The sequence below is a fragment of the Homo sapiens genome, chromosome 17, assembly GCF_000001405.40.
Source record: "Homo sapiens chromosome 17, GRCh38.p14 Primary Assembly".
In the NCBI taxonomy this organism is placed as follows: Eukaryota; Metazoa; Chordata; class Mammalia; order Primates; family Hominidae; genus Homo; species Homo sapiens.
In genome coordinates, this window is record NC_000017.11 from 19,981,901 (window position 1) to 20,001,626 (window position 19,726).

At 47.0% G+C, this 19,726-nt stretch overlaps 4 annotated features.

The window, feature by feature from the left end:
* Positions 5,150-5,946: an enhancer, noted in NCBI's record as "H3K27ac-H3K4me1 hESC enhancer chr17:19890363-19891159 (GRCh37/hg19 assembly coordinates)". NCBI's record gives its function as "activates a minimal SCP1, AML or CMV promoter by ChIP-STARR-seq in primed H9 embryonic stem cells {active_cell/tissue: H9 hESC(primed)}" and the evidence as "EXISTENCE:reporter gene assay evidence [ECO:0000049][PMID:30033119]".
* Positions 10,813-11,346: an enhancer, noted in NCBI's record as "H3K27ac-H3K4me1 hESC enhancer chr17:19896026-19896559 (GRCh37/hg19 assembly coordinates)". NCBI's record gives its function as "activates a minimal SCP1, AML or CMV promoter by ChIP-STARR-seq in primed H9 embryonic stem cells {active_cell/tissue: H9 hESC(primed)}" and the evidence as "EXISTENCE:reporter gene assay evidence [ECO:0000049][PMID:30033119]".
* Positions 12,818-13,319: an enhancer, noted in NCBI's record as "H3K27ac hESC enhancer chr17:19898031-19898532 (GRCh37/hg19 assembly coordinates)". NCBI's record gives its function as "activates a minimal SCP1, AML or CMV promoter by ChIP-STARR-seq in primed H9 embryonic stem cells {active_cell/tissue: H9 hESC(primed)}" and the evidence as "EXISTENCE:reporter gene assay evidence [ECO:0000049][PMID:30033119]".
* Positions 13,320-13,819: an enhancer, noted in NCBI's record as "H3K27ac hESC enhancer chr17:19898533-19899032 (GRCh37/hg19 assembly coordinates)". NCBI's record gives its function as "activates a minimal SCP1, AML or CMV promoter by ChIP-STARR-seq in primed H9 embryonic stem cells {active_cell/tissue: H9 hESC(primed)}" and the evidence as "EXISTENCE:reporter gene assay evidence [ECO:0000049][PMID:30033119]".

Sequence of the window (19,726 nt, forward strand, 5' to 3'; positions counted from 1 at the left end):
TTCTCATCTCACTCTGTCGCCCAGGCCAGACTGCAGTGGTGGGATCTCAGCTCACTGCAACCTCCACCTCCTGGATTCAAGCAATTCTCCTGCCTCAGCCTCCTGACTACAAATGTGTGCCACCATGCCTGGTAATTTTTGTATTTTTAGTAGAGACGGGGTTTCACCATATTGGCCAGGCTGGTCTTGAACTCCTGAGCTTAGGTGATCCACCTGCCTCAGCCTCTCAAAGTGTTGGGATTACAGGCATGAGTCACTGCACCCGGCCCTGGTTTTAGTTTTAATCAAATCAATTGTACCGAAAGGGGAGAAGAGAGAATTTAGCAAGGAAATATTTGAAAAGCTAACGGCTGACAATTTTCCTGTGGTGATAACAGAAACCAACACACTAATTCAAGAATCACTATGAACTGCAAACAAAAGAAATACAAAGAAATCTGCACACAGATTATTAATAACAAAACTTCAGGAAATAAAAATGAAGAAAAATTGTTAAAAATTGCTAGGGGTAGGGGAAGCAGATTACCTTCAAAGGAGTGCTACTTGGCCGGGTGCGGTGGCTCATGCCTGTAATCTTTGGGAGGCTGGGGCAGGCAGATCACTTGAGGCCAGGAGTTCGAGACCAGCCTGTCTAACATGGTGAAACCCCATCTCTACTGAAAATACAAAAATTAGCCGGGCGTGATGGTACGCACCTGTAATCCCAGCTATTTGGCAGGCTGAGGCAGGAGGTGGAGGTTGCACTGAGCTGAGATCACGCCACTGTACACCAGCCTAGATGACAGAGTAAGACTCCGTCTAAAAAAAAAAAAAAAAGAGGCTGGGCGCGGTGGCTCACGCCTATAATCCCAGCACTTTGGGAGGCCGAGGCGGACAGATCACGAGGTCAGGAGATCGAGACCATCCTGGCTAACACGGTGAAACCCCAACTCTACGAAAAATACAAAAAAATCAGCCGGGCGTGGTGGCGGGCGCCTTTAGTCCCAGCTACTCCGGAGGCTGAGGCAGGAGAATGGCGTGAACCCGGGAGGCAGAGCTTGCAGTGAGCCAAGATCACGCCACTGCACTCCAGCCTGGGCGACAGGGCAAGACTCTGTCTCAAAAAAAAAAAAAAAAAAAAGAGTGCCAAGTAAACAGCTGATTTTTTAAACAGTTACAGTGGATGCCAGAAGATTCATATTAAATATTCAATATGCTATAAAAAGTAACTGCTGGCTAGTCATGGCCCAGCACTTTGTAAGGCCAAGGTGGGTGGATTGCTAGAGCTCAGGAGTTAGAGACCAGCCTGGGAAATGTGGCAAAGCCTCATCTCTACAAAAAATAGAAAAATTAGTTGGGTATGGTGGCATGCATCTGTAGTCCCAGCTACTAGGGAGGCTGAGGTGGGAAGATCACCTGAGCCCTAGGAGGTCAAGTCTGCAGTGAACCGAGATCACATTACTACACCCCAGCATAGGCAACAGAGTGAGACCCTGTCTCAAAATAATAATAATAATGATAATAACTATCAACCAACAATTTTATATCCATCAAAAATATATTTCAAAGATGACACAAAATAAGATTTCAGACAAAAACGGAAAAAATTGGCTGTGCGTGGTGGCTCATGCTTGTAATCCCAGCACTTTGGGAGGCCAAGGTGGGTGGATCACCTGAGGTCAGGAGTTCGAGACCAGCCTGGCCAACACGGTGAACCCCCATTTCTACTAAAAATACAAAAATTAGCCGCGTGTGGTGGTGGGTGCCTGTAATCTCTCAGCTACTTGGGAGGCTGAGGCAGGAGAATTGCTGGAATCCGGGAGGTGGAGGTTGCAGTGAGCTGAGATCGTGCTATTGCACTCCAGCCCAAGCTGACAACAGCGAGACTCAGTCTCAAAAAAAAGAAAAAAATTGTCACCAGCAGACCTCACTAAAGAATATTCTATTTTGGCCAGGTGTGGTGGCTCATGCCTGTAATCCTAGCACTTTGGGAGGCTGAGGTGGTCAGATCATTTGAGGCCAGGAGTTCAAGACCAGCCTGGCCAACATGGCGAAAACCCGTCTCTACTAAAAAAATATAAAAATTAGCTGGGCATGGTGGTGTGTGCCTGTAATCCCAGCTATGTGGGAGGCTGAGGCAGGAGATTCGCTTGAACCAGGGAGGCAGAGATTGAAGTGAGCCGAGCTTGTGCCACTGCACTTTCAGTCTGGGCCACTGAGTGAGACTCTGTCTCAAAAAAAAAAAAAATTATATTTGATAGCACAACAGAGTGACTCTAGTCAATACAAAATTAAATGTACATTTTAAAATAACTTAAAGAGTGTAATTGGATTGTTTGTAACTTGAAGGATAAATTGCTTGAGAGGATGGATACCCCATTCTCCATGATGTGCTTATTTCACATTGCATGCCTGTATCAAAACATCTCATGTACTCCATAAATACATATATCTACTACGTACCCACAAAAATAACAAAATTAAAAATAAATAAAAAATAAAAGTATGTATGTGCAAAGTTTAAAAAAAAAAAAGAATATCCTAAAGGATTTACTTCAAGCAGAATAAAGTACATGAGATAGAAAGTCTTTGATGCAAGGCACTAGAATAAGTGGTATGTGGATAAATGTGAATAAACATTGAGTGTAAGCGGTAATAATAAAGTTGTGAAAGTTAATTAACTACAAAATTAGAGGGCATGGTACACACATGAGCACCCTTATTTCTGACACCAACTGCAAGTTCAGGGGTCCCCAAGGCTATCCTTAGGTTTGATAATTTGCTAGAAGTGCTCACAAAACTCACTAAAAGCTGTTATATTCACGGTTATAATTTACTACAGCTCAAGGATACACTTTAATAATCAGCCAAGGGGGCTGGGCGCGGTGGCTCACACATGTATTCCTAGCACTTTGAGAGGCCGAGGCAGGCGGAACATGAGGTCAGGAGATCGAGACCATCCTGGCTAACGTGAAACCCCGTCTCTACTAAAAATACAAAAAAATTAGCCGGGTGTGGTGGTATGCATCTGTAGTCCCAGCTACTCGGGAGGCCGAGACAGGAAAATCGCTTGAACCGGGGAGGCAGAGGTTGCAGTGAGTTGAGATCATTCCACTGCACTCCAGCCTGGGTGACAGAGCGAGATTCCATCTCATAATAATAATAATAATCAGACAAGGGAAAAATGCATAGGGCAAAGCCCAGGGAGGTACCAAATGAGAATATCCAGTTGTCCTCTCCCTATGGAGTCAGAATGGGTTTCCCAGTATAGAGCATTGCCAACCAGGAAAGCTTACCCAAGCCCTTGTGTCCAAAGTCTTTATTGGAATTCCATCATGTAAGCTGGGTTGTCTGCCCATGTGGTTGATTCTAGTCTCTAGCCACTCAGGAGGTCACACTGATGCCACCTGATCCAAAGCCCCCAACCCAGATCACATTGTTGCTATCTGGCTGGCCCAAGGCCCCTAGTCAAAACAAAAATACTTCTATCAGGAATGATATTTCAAGAGTTTAAAGAGATTATGTCCAGTAGCTGGGGACAAAGGCCAGACCCCTCTTTGGGCAAGGTTAAATCCTTTTCTACACAAACATCTAGCAGGTTTAAAAATGTCACCAGTGTGGCAGGCCACTGAATCTTAGTAGAGTTTATATCTCACCTTCTGGCATGTATGTGTCTTGACTGTGTTTCTGGAACACTTGCCATTTCTTGCTTACAATCAGCATGATGTCGTCAACATAGTGTCTCCATATGATGTTCTGCAGAATGTCCAGACAATCAAGTATTTTTTTTTTTTTTTTTGAGACATAGTCTTGCTCTGCCACCCAGGATGGAGTGCAGAGGCGCGATCTTGGCTCACTGCAACCTCTGCCTCCTGGGTTCAAGAAATTCTCCTGCCTCAGCCTCCTGAGTAGCTGAGATTTCAGGTGCCCACCACCACGCCCAGCTAATTTTTGTATTTTTAGTAGAGATGGGGTTTCACCATGTTGGCCAGGCTGGTCTCGAACTCCAGAACCCAGGTGATCCACCCCCCTCAGCCTCCCAAAGTGCTGGGATTACAGGCGTGAGCCACCACGCCCAACAATTTTTTTTTTTTTTTTGAGACAGTCTCACTCTGTTGCCCAGGCTGGAGTGCAGTAGTGGCATGGCATGATCTCGGCTCACTGCAGCGCCTCCTGGATTCAAGCTATTCTCCTGCCTCAGCCTCCCAAGTACCTGGGATTACAGGCATGCACCACCATGCCCGGCTAATTTTTTTTGTATTATTAGTAGAGACGAGGTTTCACCATGTTGGCCAGGCTGGTCTCGAACTCCTGACCTTAAGTGATCCTTCCACCTTGGCCTCCCAAAGTGCTGGGATTAAAGGCGTGAGCCACCATGCCGGACGGATCAAGGATTCTTTAGACTTGCACTGTCCAAGATTTTAGTGAATACTAAATAGCCACACGTTGCTATTCAGTATTTTAAATGTGGCTAATCAAACGAAGATGTGCTGTAAGTGTAAAATATACTTTCTATTTCCGTGCACTCTAACCTGACAGCTTCCTACTGCAAATACCTGTGACTCTGTCTGTGCTCTTTCTTTCTGTCTTTTTTTTTCTTTTTTTTTTTTTTGAGACAGAGTCTCACTCTGTCACCAGGCTGGAGTGCAGTGTCAAGATCTCGGCTCACTGCAACTTCCGCCTACTGGGTTCAAGCGATTCTCTTGCCTCAGCCTCCAGAGTAGCTGGTATTACAGGCACGCGCCACCATGCCCAGCTATTTTTTTTTTTTTTTTTTTTTTTGAGACGGAGTCTCGCTCTGTCACCCAGGCTGGAGTGCAGTGGCACAATCTCGGCTCATTGCAACCTCCACCTCCCAGGTTCACGCCATTCTCCTGCCTCAGCCTCCTGAGCCGCTGGGACTGCAGGCACCTGCAACCACGCCTGGCTAATGTTTTTGCATTTTTAGTAGAGACGGGGTTTCACCGTGTTAGCCAGGATGGTCTCGATCTCCTGACCTCATGATCCGCCCGCCTCGGCCTCCCAAAGTGCTGGGATTACAGGCATGAGCCACCGCGCCCAGCCCCAGTCCATTTTTAAATAAGGAAAGGAATGTGAGCTGGGGCCGTAGCATGCCTGGGCATGTAGTAAAATCAGAAAGAAGGAAAAGGAGAAGAAAGGCGGGGGGTGGTACTTGGAATTAGAGAATAAGAAGCGGATCAGCCTGTTTGAAGAGAAACCTTGTCATATCTTACAGTAGTAGCATCTCCCACAGTCCACACTGGCCAACAGACAATTACCACCACCCAGCCTGTCACAGATGCCAGTGTCCTAATGAAGGCTGTGTCCTCCAATGGCTTCTCAGGTCTTGCATAGTAATTCAATTCCAACATTCCTGCTGTCAGAGGCATTGGAATCAGAGCGACTCCATGGTAAAATGAGGCTGAGACCTGCTAGGCTGCATTCTTAGTCACAGGAGGAGATAGGAGGTCGGCAGGAGAAGTTATAGGTCATAAAGACCCTGCTCATAAAACAGGATGTGATAAAGAAGCCGGCCAAAACCCACCAAAACCAAGATGGTGATGAAAGCGACCTCTGGCCGTCCTCACTGCTCATTATACACATTATAATACATTAACATGCTAAAAGACATTCCCTCCAGGGCCATGACAGTTTACAAACGCCATGGCAACGTCAGGAAGTTACTCTATATGGTCTAAAAGTGGGGGGATCCATCAGTTCTGGGAAATCCCTGCCCCTTTCCTGGAAACCTCACAAATAATCCACCCTTTGTTTAGCATAGAATCAAGAAATAATCATAAGAACACTCAGTTAAGCAGCCCATGTCGCTGCTCTATGGAGTAGCCATTTTTCTGTTTCTTCTTTAATAAAATTGCTTTCACTTTACTGGGTGGACTCGTCTCGAACTCTTTCTTATGCAAGGTCCAAGAACCCTCTCCTGGGGTCTGGATCAGGACCCCTTTCCAGTTACACTACCTCCTTAAGCCTTCTGACCTCTTCCTCAATAGTATGTTGAGAAAGTTCTGGCACTATCCTCCTCATTTTACTCTAGGCCAAGTTCAATCCTGACCATCTGTTAGGACTAGCTCTGGGATCTCCTGCTATAGCACTGGATCTTGAGTTGTGGGTAAAGGCCCTCAAACGGGAAAAACTCCCCAGGGCCAGGCTTATATTCCACCCCACCCCCAGTCCAACAGCTTCAACATTGACTCCCACACATGATTCCCTGGTTCCTCCCACACACAGTGGCCAGGGCTAGTGAATCCTTTGGCCAGTGTGGTATTTTCTCCTGTAGCAGGCTCTGACTTTCTTGCTCAGGCTGTGTGGAGACTTGACTTTGGTTATTTACCTAGAAACAGAGTGGAGGGGTCCATCTTTAGTAGGACAAATGGCATCTTGCAGGGCTCCTGCCTGTGCTGAGGTCAATGTCCAGCCTTCTCTGGGGAGCAGGGGTATTGAGGGGTCTGAAGGTGCAAGCTTCTCAGGGTTAACCACTCAAATGTCCCCAATTCACATCTCAGGATTTGACTCTTATTTATCATGGTGTTGACTTTGACTAGGAGATGAGATAAGACTATGCATCCTCTCTTTTTTTCAACAATTACAACCTGGGCCTGATCATCAGCAAAGTCTGTTCTCTGGTGAATAATCTAACTTCCAAATCCCAATCCTCTTTTAGGGCCACTCAGTGTTTAGCCTCAGTTACCCCAGAAAGCAAAGCCTGAGATGAAGGTCTCATGGCAGGGCTATGTGAAGGTGCACAGTCTCAGGGGCAGGGATGAGAAATGAGGGAAGCGAGGGAGGGACAGAGGGAGAGCCCACACAAGACTGTGTTATCGAGCTGGTTGCTTCTAAGTCTGAAGAATTGCCAGATTCTCAAACTCCTGACCTTGTGATCCGCCCACCTTGGCCTCCCAAAGTCCTGGGATTACAGACTTGAGCCACTGCACCCGGCCCTGGCCATATCTTTAACGTGCTGCTGGAAGTAAGGGCTGTAAATAAACTGAATAAATGGAATGCCAGAATAACCTTTCTTGGTTGTGTTGTTGTGTTGTACACATAAGAGAGGCAGTTGAGTCATGTCTAATCCATCAGGAGTAGCTAAGCCTCCAGAATCAATTATTAATACCATATTGGGAGCTCTTGCATGATCTTTTATCCAGGATGTCTCAAATATATTTCAGCAGAGAACCCTAGAATCAGTGATCAAGAAAGCTAGAAGGGGTTGGGCACAGTGGCTCATGCCTGTAATCCCAGCATGTTGGGAGGCCGAGGCGGGTGGATCACCTGAGGTCAGGAGTTTGAGACCAGCCTGACCAATATGGTGAAACCCCACCTCTATTAAAAATATAAAAGTTAGCTGGGCATGGTGGTGTGTGCCTGTAGTCCCAGCTACTTCGGAGGCTGAGACAGGAGGATCATTTGAACCCGGGAGGCGGAGGTTGCAGTGAGCCAAGATCATGCCATTGCACTCCAGCCTGGGCGACAGAGACTCTGTCTAAAAAACAAAAACAAAAAAACAGAGCTAGAAGGAATCTTAGCAATGGTCTCATGCAATTCCCTCACTTTATGGATCAGAAAACTGAAGCCTCTTTCAGTATAATAATAACAACAATAATGACCATCACTGCAATAATATCACTATCATTTTCGATCACCTGTTAGATGTACTTTTTCAAAAACTTAATCCCCACAACAGCTCTCATTCTGGAGATGAAAAACACAGCCTCAGATGGGCTCTGATTTCATCAATCTGGGTGATTCTAATGAGCAGCAGGGGTAAAAATCTAGAGCCTAAAATTTAACTTGAAATTGTTTTTCCCTCCTAAAAGGAGACTAGTGAGCCTGAAGCATTATAATCAGTCCTCTTGTCTTCTTCTTTCAATTGCCTCACTACCTACAATCATTTAAAATGAATTTTAATGCGTTTCAATGATATTCCATTGTGAGCATCAGTTCTGAGATGCTAAGTATCCACCTAAAATGATATCCTTGTCGAGCACATACTTTAGCCAGTTAATGTCCAAGGGACTTCTCATTTCATTAAATGTCATGTTGCATTTAATTCTCATGACAACCTGGGATAGTAGATATTATTATTTGCCTCATTTTGTGAATGAGAAAATGAGTCTTTGGAGAGGTTAAATAAATTGCCTGAGATCTTGCAGCTAATAAAAGGCAGAGCCAAGGATTGAAAAATGGTTCTGGGCTGGGTGCGGTGGCTCACATCTGTTATTCCAGCACTTTGGGAGGCTGAGGCGGGTGGATCACCTGAAGTCAGGAGTTCGAGACCAGCATGGCCAACATGGTGAAACTCTGTCTCTACTAAAAATATAAAAATTAGCCGGGTGTGGTGGCACACACCTGTAGTCTCAGCTACTTAGGAGGCAGGAGAATCGCTTGAACCTGGGAGGCAGAGGTTGCAGTGAGCCGAGATCGCGCCACTGCACTCCAGCCTGGGTGACAGAGCAAGAGACTCCGTGTCGAATAATAATAATAACAGTCCTAGGGTGTTCTCTCAACTCCTCTATCCAATGCCTATCTTTGCTTCAGGACTCAGCCCAAGATCTACCTCCTGATAGGAAGTCCTCCCTGACAAATCCAGCATTTGTTGACTCAATCGCTTCTAAACTGTTATAATTAGACCAATGCAGCTATCAGTTGTTGAATACTTAGTATACACAAGGCATCTTTTATTCATTATCTCAAAACCTTCTAACACTCTTTTTTTTTTTTTTTTTGAGATGGAGTCTCGCTCTGTCGGCCAGGCTGGAGTGTGGAGGTGTGATCTCCACTCACTGCACGCTCCACCTCCCAGGTTCTAGCAGTATCCCTGCCTCAGCCTCCCAAGTAGCTGGGATTACAGATGCGCGCCACCATGCCCGGCTACTTTTTGTATTTTTTAGTAGAGACAGGGTTTTGCCACGTTGGCCACGCTGGTCTTGAACTTCTGACCTCAGGTGATCCGCCTGCCTCAGCCTCCAAAGTGCTGGGATTACAGGCGTGAGGTAACACTCTTGAGTGTTAGAAATTATTGCTTTAATTTTACAGATGAGGAAACAGGCTCAGAGAGCCTTCCAAGCTCCTGCAGCTAACCAGTAGCAGAGCCAGAATTCAAAATCAGATCTGGGTGAGCCCAAAGCAGGAGTTGGCAAACTAAGGATCATGGGCCAAATCCAGCCCACTCATTGTCTGTTTTGGTAAATAAAATTTTGCTGAAACAAAATCAGACTCACTCATTTACATAACCCTGATGGCTGCTTTCAAACTACAATAGCGACATTGAGTCCCTGCAAACAAGTCTATGTGGCTCTCAAAGCCTAAAATATTTACTATCTAGCCCTTTATAAAAAGTTTGCTTGTAAACGTTTTTGTTTTTATAGAAAAACTCCTGCTTGGAAGCCTGTTTTTCTTGCCACTTCATCTTTCTTCTTCTCTGTATGCCACTGCTATTATAGTATTGAAGTTGTCACTCTTGCTCCCAGCAGGTGGAAGGACAGCATGCTTCTCATGAAAAGGACCTCAGTAGGACACTCACAGAAGTCCGGGCAACTGGGACAGAGACCACGACCCCCAGGAAGGGAGTGGTCAATCAACACAGGGATCACCAGTACAGGAGCCTCTGTTTGGAAGGAAGGTCAGAAAGATCCTGTGGCCTTGCTCTACCAATTTTTGGCAGCCTGCCTGGCCACATCCCTACCTCCCAGAGGCCCATGCTCTGATTCCTGGATGTCACCCTGTTCTCTGCAGGTGCCAGCAATGTTGCTTTTGCATACTCCCAGGGGGCACTATCCACATGTTCCAGGGACTCCATCTACATAGTTACCCTGGGTGCTATAATTACCTGGGTGTGTCTGGAGTGGGTGGGAGAGAGGGGTGTGGCTGTTCTTGGGATCTGCAGTAAAAGACTCTGTTTAAAGGGTTCTGAGAGAGGAGGCTGCGTCGTGGGGTGTAAAGGAGGGAGCTGGGACTCTGCAGCTTTTGGTCTTTGCAGAGCAGTGGGACTTGAGGAGGTAGAGGAGGAAATCCTGGGAAAGAGGTTGAGGGCACTGTCACGAGAAGACAGTGCAAAGCTACACACACCCAGACCACATAATATGAATATTATATAGAGTTTATTGGGGGCAAAGCCTATATGCGGTGAGGTCTCAGAGCACCCTGCTATGCCCGAGTCAGCCTAAGCCACCAAGGATGACCCTGCAGTCAGACCACGTCTGGCTATTGACTCAGTGCAGTGAGAGGGACTGCACGTTGAGCGACATGGAGATGGCTCAGCACACAAAGGTCAGCAAAGAGTTATTCCAGGACTTGAGGGTGATGTGAAGTTAAGGTGACAATTAAATGAAGCAGGCTCATAGCAAACCAGGCTGTGTGTTGTGAGTCAACATCAGGTGTGGGCTGGGAAATGGACCCAGGGTCTTGTTTCTTTGGAAATAATAATTTTTTGTTTGTTTGTTTTGAGATGGAGTCTCACTCTGTTGCCCAGGCTGGAGTGCAGTGGTGCCATCTTAGCTCACTGCAACCTCCGGCTCCTGAGTTCAAGCAATTCTCCTGCCTTAGCCTCCCCAGTAGCTTGGATTACAGACAAGTGCCACCATGCCCGGCTAATTTTAGTATTTTTAGTAGAGATGAAGTTTCACCATGTTGGCCAGGCTGTTCTCAAACTCCTAACCTCGGGTGATCCACCCACCTCAGTCTCCCAAAGTGTTAGGATTACAGGCGTGAGCCCCCGCATCCAGCCTTTTATTCCTTTTTAAAGGCTGAATAATATTCAATTGTACATATATACCACATTTTGTTTATCCGTTCACCTGCTGACAGACACATGTTGCTTTTGTGTTTTAGCTAGTGGGTCAAAGTTAATACTGCTATGACCATACAGGCACAAATATCTCTTCAAGACCTTACTTTCAATTCTTTTTTTTTTTTTTTTTTTTTTTTTTTTGAGATGAAATCTTGCTCTGTCACCCACGCTGGAGTGCCCTGGCATCATCTTGGCTCACTGCAACCTCAGCCTCCCTGCGCACACAGTTCGGTACTACATATATCCTCTAGGTGGCAGCATAACCCTCAATATAAAAACCCATTCTGAGCCCCGCGCGGTGGCGCGCCTGGAATCCCAGCTGCAGCTACTCTGGAGGATCGCTAGAGCCCAAGAGCTGATGCAATGCTCCAGGACTGCACCTGTGAACAGCCACTGGCACTCCAGCCTGGGCAGCAGCGAGACCCCGTCAATAAACAAACAAACCACCCGATTAGGCGCGGTGGCTCACTTCTGTAATCCCAGCACTTTGGGAGGCCCAGGCGGGTGGATGGCTTAAGCCCAGGAGCTCGAGACCAGCCTGGGCAGCATATAGAGACCTCATCTCTACAAAGAATTAAAAAATTAGCTGGGCATGGTGGCACGCGCCTGTGGTCCCAGCTACTCGGGAGGCTGAGGTGGGAGGGCCACCTGAGCCCAGTTTGGAGGCTGCAGTGAGCCGCAATCGCATCACTGCACTCCAGCCTGGGCGACAGAGCCATACTGTCTCAAAAATAAATAAGTAAATAAATAAATAAAACATAAAAACTATTTTGGGATCCTGACCCTTTGGTCTTTGAACTTCTCTCTCTTTTCTTTCTTTCTTTTTTTTTCTTCTTCCTTCCTTCCTTTTCTTTTTCTTTCTTTCTTCCTTCCTTTCTTCTCTTTCTTTCTTTCTTTTCTTCTTTCCCTTTTTTCTTTCTTTTTGAGAGAGGGTCTCATTGTCACCCAGGGTAGAGTGAGAGGCACTATTACTGCAGCCTTGAACTCCTGGGCTCAAGCGATCTTCTTACCTCAGCCTCCCGAGTAGCTAGGACTACAGCTGCATGCCAGCACACCTGACAATTAATTTTTTTTTTTTTTTTTTTTTTTTGAGACGGAGTCTCACTCTCTCCCAGTCTGGAGTGCAGTGGCGCAATCTCGGCTCACTGCAAGCTCCGCCTCCCGGGTTCACGCCATTCTCCTGCCTCAGCCTCCCGAGTAGCTGGGACTACAGGCGCCCGCCACCACGCCCGGTTAATTTTTTGTATTTTTTAGTAGAGATGGGGTTTCACCGTGTTAGCCAGGATGGTCTCCATCTCCTGACCTCGTGATCCACCTGCCTCGGCCTCCCAAAGTGCTGGGATTACAGGCGTGAGCCACTGCGTCTGGCCAAAAAAAAATTTTTTTTTATAGAGACAGGGTCTCGCTATGTTGCTCAGGCTGGTCTCAAACTCCTGGGCTAAGGCACCGTCTCGCTTCAGCCTCCCAAAGTGTTGGGATTACAGGTGTGAGCCACCAGGCCTGGCCTGGCCTGAATTTTCTTTTTTCTTTTTTTTTCTTTCTTTTTTTCCTTTCTTTCTTTTTTTCTTTTTTTTTTTTGAGACAGAGTCTTGCTCTGTCTCCCAGGCTGGAGTGCAGTGGCCTGCTCTCACTCGCTGCAACCTCCCCCTCCCGGGTTCAAGCAATTCTCCTGCCTCAGCCTCCTGAGTAGCTGGGATTATAGGCATGCGCCACCATGCCCGGCTAATTTTTCTGTTTTTAGTAGAGACGGGGTTTCACCATGTTGGCCAGGCTGGTTTCGAACTCCTGACCTCGTGATCTGCCTGCCTTGGCCTCTCAAAGTGTTGGGATTACAGGCGTGAGCCACCGTGACCAACCGAATTTTCTTAGCACTTTTCTTTTTAAATGCCAAAGGATGGAACCCAGAACTGTGAGCTTCCTTCAGCTCTGTCAGTGGCTTATCTCAACATGAGCTAAATGTACAAAGGTGCTCTTCCTATCTTACTGCTGTGATCGTTGGTCCCATGTTTTGACTGCTGGATTGATTTCAGTAAGGACTCAGGGTATAGATTCTAGCCTTCCTTGAAGGACAGATGTCCTCTCAACTAAACTAGAAGCACACTATAACTCTACAATTTTTGAATTCTTTTTTTTTTTTTATTTTTTTTTTGAGACGGAGTCTCACTCTGTCACCCAGGCTGGAGTGCAGTGGCATGATTTCGGCTCACTGCAACCTCTGCCTCCCGGGTTCAAGCGATTCTCCTGCCTCAGCCTCCCAAGTAGCTGGGACTAGAGGTGTGCGCCACCACGCCCGGATAATTTTTGTATTTTTAGTAGAGATGGGGTTTCACCATGTTGGTCAGGCTGGTCTCGATCTGCTGACCTCGTAATTCTCCTGCCTTGGCCTCCCAGAGTGCTGGGATTACAGGCGTGAGCCACTGCGCCCAGCCCCGGCCCTCTTTTTTTTTTTTTTTTTTTTTCGAGGTGGAGTTTCGCTCTTGTTGCCCAGGCTGGAGTGCAGTGGTGCGATCTCGGCTCACTGCAACCTCTGCCTCCCGGGTTCAAGTGATTCTCCTGCCTCAGTCTCACGAGTAGCTGGGATTACAGGTGTCCGCCACCACCCCCAGCTAATTTTTTGTATTTTTAGTAGAGTAGGGGTTTCACCATTTTGGCCAGGTTGGTCTCGAACTCCTGACCTCAGGTGATCTACCTGCCTCGGCCTCCCAAAGTGCTAGGATTATAGGTGTGAGCCACCACACCCGGCCCCCATTTTTGTATTCTTAGTCTCTGGAGCACAGTTGGTTGAACAAATGAATGAATGAATGTATTACCACAAGGACTACACAAGGCTAGGCATTGCCTGGCTTGGAAAGAGTCTTTAAATTGCTATTATTTATGGAAACTTCAGTGCACCAGCCAGATTTCTTGGTTGCAAGCAACAGAAATAAACTCTGGCTCTCTTTTTTTTTGAGACGGAGTCTCATTCTGTCACCCAGGCTGGAGTGCAGTGGCACGATCTCGACTCACTGCAAGCTCCGCCTCCTGGGTCCACGCCATTCTCCTCCTGCTTCAGCCTCCCGAGTAGCTGGGACTACAGGCACCCACTACCACGCCCAGCTAATTTTTTTGTATTTTTAGTAGAGACGGGGTTTCACCGTGTTAGCCAGGATGGTCTCGATCTCCTGACCTTGTGATCCACCTGCCTCGGCCTCCCAAAGTGCTGGAATTACAGGCGTGAGTCACCACGCCTGGCCAACTCTGGCTCTCTTAAGCATAAAGGGAGTTTATTGGAATGGCATGGCAGTAGAATCATGAGAGTTTGCCTTAGTTCGTTTTCTATTGTTTATAACAGAATATCTGAAACTGGGTAATTCATAAAGAAAAGGCATTTATTTCTTACAGTTACAGAGGCTGAGAAGTACAAGGTTGAGGAGCTGTATCTGGTGAGAGCCTTCTTGTTGGTGGGGACTCTCTGCAGAGCCCCTAGGCAGTGTAAGATATCAAATGGTGAAGGGGCGACCATGCTAGCTCAGGTCTTAATTCTTCCTCTTATAAAGCCACTGATGCCACTCCCATGACAACTCATTAATCCATTAATCCACTCATGAGGTCAGAGCTCTCATGATCCAGTCACTGCTTAAAGCCCCATCTCAATATTGCCACTTTGGAGATTAAGTTTCAAAATCAGTTTGGCAGGGGACAAACATTCAAATCATAGCAGGGTTCAAAAGCAGGTTCAGACAGTTTTCAAAATTTGTTTTAATTAAAACAATTAAAAATTTAAAAAAGTTAAAAAAAATTAAAAGAAGCAGGTTCAGCACACAGGCAAAGGAAGCCCTGGAGGGACAAGAAGTAGGAAGAACAACCACCACCTTTGAGCATGAAAAGTCTGGCCAGGGCCCACCACTGTCGCTGTCCACCTCCACAGCTGTGGTAAAAGTCCTAATTTGGGCTGTTCTCTCACCTTTGCATCATATGTTCGCCTTTGCATCATATATCAAAGGGTGGATTGACCCTTTGACAGAAGCTAAGTCACATTCCAAAGCCCCAGCTGCCAAAGTGTGAGTGGGGGAGGATCTCCCCAGTGCAACTCCCTGGCAGAGGAAGTACCCTGCATCCTGCCACTCACACACTGGAGCGTCCCCCAGCCAGCTGAGCAGGCTTCGCAGGGGTGTGGCCATCCGCCTGCTCCAGGCAAGTACTGTACAGTCCTTCAGTCCTTGCTGCCAGCCTCTGCATCGGTAGTTTTTTGTTTGTTTATTTTTTTAAATCAGCGCTCATTTCTTCTTTTTGACTTCTTGGACTAGCCGTGAAGATTGCAGGCATTCTTAGCCTGTCTTTTAGTAGGAATGTTTCTAATGTTTCACCATGGAGTGTTAAGGTTTACTGAAGGCTTCTGGTAGCTAGATTATCTATTTAGTTTGAGGGTCTTCCTTGGATTCCTAAACTCACTAAGAGTTTTCTTTTGAGATGGAGTCTCACTCTGTTACCCAGGCTGGAGTGCAATGGCATGATCTTGGCTCACTGCAACCTCCGCCTCCCGGGTTCAAGCCATTCTCCTGCCTCAGCCTCCCAGGTAGCTGGGACTACAGGCATGCGCCACCACACCCGGCTAATTTTTCTATTTTCAGTAGAGATAGGGTTTCACCATGATGGCCAGGCTGGTCTCAAACTCCTGACCTCAAGTGATCCGCCCACCTCGTCCTCCCAAAATGCTGGGATTATAGATGTGAGCCACCTCGCCCAGCCACTAAGAGTTTTTGAAAACAGAAATCAGTATGTATTTTATCAAATGATTTAGAGTACAAAATTTTCCTCTCTTAATGTGTTACGACAACAGAGAATGACCTTGAAAAATTTTCTAATGTAGAACCAGTCCTGCATTTCTGAGATTAATTCATTCAACAAGTCATTCATTCAACAAATATTTATTGAATGCTTATTATGTACAAGTAGTGTTCTCAGCACTAGGAGGAGGAACAAAAGAGAATCAACAGAACAGCAATGAATAAAACAGAATCAAAATTCCTGGGCCATACCACCCTGAACAGGCCTGATCTCCCCTGCTCTCAGAAGCTAAGCAGGGTTGAGCCTGGTTAGTACTTGGATGGGAGGACTAGAGTGCCTACCTGCAGGAAGTATCCATTCTAGTTGGGGGGAAACGGAGAACTTCCATTAAAACAATGTAAAGTATTCTGGAGAAAAATAAAACTTGGAAAAGGAATATGAAGAGAAGTGTGTTTGTGTGATTTTTTTTTCTTTTTTTTTTTTTGAGATGGGGTCTTGCTCTGTCACCCAGGCTGGGGTGTTGTGGCGTGATCTTGGCTCACTGCACCTCCTCTGCCTTCTGGGTTCAAGCGATTCTCCTGCCTCAGCCTCCTGAGTAGCTGAGATTACAGGTGTGTGCCACTACACCTGGCTACTATTTGTATTTGTAGTAGAGACGAAGTTTCACCATGTTGGCCAGGCTGGTCTCGAACTCCTGACCTCAGGTGATCCACCCACCTTGGCCTCCCAAAGTGCTGGGATTACAGGCGTGAGCCACCATGTCCGGCCTGAAGTGTGTTTGAGTGATTTTTAAACATGGTGGTCAGGAAGGAAGTGCAGGAGAGAGCCAGGTGACTTCCTGGAAAAACATTCCAGACAGAGGGGACAGCAAATACAAAGGTTCTAAAGAAGCAAAATCTGGGCTGTTCAGGAAACAGAAAGGACAGCTGCAGAGCTGGAGTGGAGTGAGCAAGGGGAAAGAAGTGGGAGGTGATAATAGGCAGATCATGTAGGTCACTGGAAAGACTCTGGCTTTTAATCTGACAGATTAAAACGGGAATCACGACAGGGTTTTGAGCAGAGCAGGGACAGGATGGGAATTACACTTTAAAAGGATCCCTCTGACTGCTCTGTGGAGACTATGCTAAGGTGGAGTGAAAACAGAACCAAAGAGACCAGTGAGGAGAATGCTGCAGTGATTCAGGTGAGAGAGGAAGATGGCCTGGACCAGGGGGTAACAGGGGAGATGATGAGAGCTAACTGGATTTGGGGGTCGACTGGATCTGCAGAAAGATTGGATAGGGTGTGTAATAGAGAAGAGTCAAGAATGACTTCAAAGTTTTTGCCTCCTAATGTTAGATTGGACATTAAGATGGTGGAGACTGCAGGAAAGCAAGTTTAGGGAGAAAAGTAGGAATTGACTTTTGAGCATATTGCCCATTTGAGATACTATTTATGAGAGTTGGATTTATGAGTATGGAGTTCTGAGGAGAACTCCCACACAGCAAGAGATAGAAATATGGGAGTCATCGGCTGGGCACGGTGGCTCACACCTATAATCCCAGCACTTTGGGAGGCCGAGATGGGCGGATCACGAGGTCAGGAGATCGAGACCATCCTGGCTAACATGGTGAAACCCCATCTCTACTAAAAATACAAAAAAATTAGCCAGGCGTGGTGGCGGGTGCCTGTAGTCCCAGCTACTGGAGAGGCTGAGGTAGGAGAATGGTGTGAACTTGGCAGGTGGAGCTTGCAGTGAGCCGAGATCGCGCCACTGCACTCCAGCCTGGGGGACTGAGCGAGACTCCGTCTCCAAAAAAAAAAGAGAAATATGGGAGTCATCAGTCTACCGATGGTATTTAAAGCCATGAGGCAGGAGGAGTTTATGAGGGGAGCAAGTATAGGTAGAGAGGCCGTCTAAAGACTGTACTCTGGGCCGGGTGTGGTGGCTCATGCCTGTAATCTCAGCACTTTGGGAGGCCGAGGCGGGTGGTTCACGAGTTCAGGAGTTTGAGACCAGCGTGGCCAATATAGTAAAACCCTGTCTCTACTAAAAATACAACAATTTGCTGGGCATGGTGGCATGTGCCTGTAGTCCTGGCTACTTGGGAGGCTGAGGCAGGAGAATCGCTTGAACCCAGGAGGCAGAGGTTGCATGAGCTGAGACCTCGCCATTGCACTCCAGCTTGGGTGACAGACGAGACTGCGTCTCAAAAAAAAAAAAAAAGACTGTACTCTGGGGCACTTCAAGGTCAAGAGATCAGGAGGATGAGGAAGAACCGGCAAAGGAGACTGAATCTGTGCAGACAGAAGCAGCAGGAGAATCAGAGGAATATGCTGAGAAAAGTTTCCTATTTTGTCTTTTTGAGACAGGGTCTCGCTGTCACTCAGGCTGGAGTGCAGTGGTGCAATCATGGCTCACTGCAGCCTTGATTTCCCAGGCTCAAGTCATCCTACTGCCTCAGCCTCCTAAGTAGATGGGACTACAGGTGCATGCCATCACACTGGCTACTTTTTAGTTTTTGTAGAGATAGGGTCTTGCCATGTTGCCCAGGCTGATCTTGAACTCCTGGGCTCTCATGATCCTCCCGCCTTGGCCTCCCAAAGTGTTGGGATTACAGGTGTGAGCCATCACGCCTGGCTGAGAAAAGTATTTTTAAGAAGAGGGAGTGATCGGCCAGGTCAAATGCTGCTGAAAGACTGAATAAAATTAAGAACTGAACATTCACCATTGGATGTGGCAGTGCAGAGGTCATTTCATGGAGTAACTGGGGTGAGAGTCTGTGGGAAGGACTCAGCAGAGAACGGGAGAAGATAAATGGAGTCAGCACATAGACACAATGCTTTGAGAAGTTTTGCAGAGAATGGAAAGAAACAAATAGGATAGTAGCTGGGGGAGGAGAGAGGCTAAGTGATTTTACCACATGGGAGAAACATCACTAAATATATATATTGTTGGGAGTGACCCAGTGAGGGGAGGGATTGATGGTACAAGGGAGCAGGGGAGCTGCTGGGGCCCTGCCTGAGAAGCTGCAGGTGGTGGATCCAGAGCTCCAGGGGAGGCCTGGCTTTGGCTCGGAGCCTGGACCGTCCATCCATGGTGAGAGGAGAGGACGCAGAATTGGGGCACAATTCTGTGGGTGGGTGGTTTTGCCCGTGCGGGGAGGCGGAGGTTCACTCTTAAATGCTTCTCCTGGTTTCTCAATGATTAGAAGTGAGGTCAGCAGCTGAGGCTAAGGATGGAGGAGGAAGTGTTGGAGGTTTGAGGAAAGAGGAGAATGTCTGAATAGCTTTTCTGGAGAGAAAGCAAGAGAGAGAGAAAGAGAGAGAATGGTCAACAGCAACATAGTAGGATTTTTAGGAAGCAAAAAGGGCTGCGTAATCATGAATTCTGAAGCGAGATTGTTTTTTCTCCAGACACACTGAGCTGAATGGGTGCTGGCTCCAGTTTGTAAACGTTTGCTCTTTTTATTGACCTTTTGCACAGAACCAATATTTTGCTTTAGGCCAGGCGCGGTGGCGCCTGCCTGTAATCCCAGCACTTTGAGAGGCCGAGGTGGGCAGATTACCTGAGATCAGGAGTTTGAGACCAGCCTAACAAATATGGTGAAACCCCGTCTCTAATAAAAATACAAAAATTAGCTGGGCCAGGTGGCGCGCACCTGTAGTACCAGCTACTCAGGAGGCTGAGGCAGGAGAATTGCTTGAACCCGGGAGGCAGAGGTTGCAGTGAGCCAAGATCGCATCACTGCACTCCAGCCTGGGTGACAGAGCAAGACTCCATCTCAAAAAAACCAACAAAAAAAATTGCTTTATCATCCTCCCTTTAACTTCTGCCTTTATTAATTATTTCTTTAAAGTGTCCGAGCTTTGAGAGTTGAACATTTGGTTTCTTTATTATCAGGGTTCTTTTTTCCTTTTTTTTTCTTTTTTTTGAGACAAGAGTCTTGCTCTGTCGCCCAGGCTGGAGTGCAGTGGTGGGATCTCGGCTCACTGCAAGCTCCTCCTCCCAGGTTCACTCCATTCTCCTGCCTCAGCCTCCCGGGTAGCTGGGACTACAGGCGCAGGCCACCACACCCAGCTAATTTTTTGTATTTTTTGAGATGGAGTCTCACTGTGTCACCCAGGCTGTTGCCCAGGCTGGAGTGTAGTGGTGCGATCTCGGCTCACCGCAACCTCCGCCTCCCGGGTTCAAGC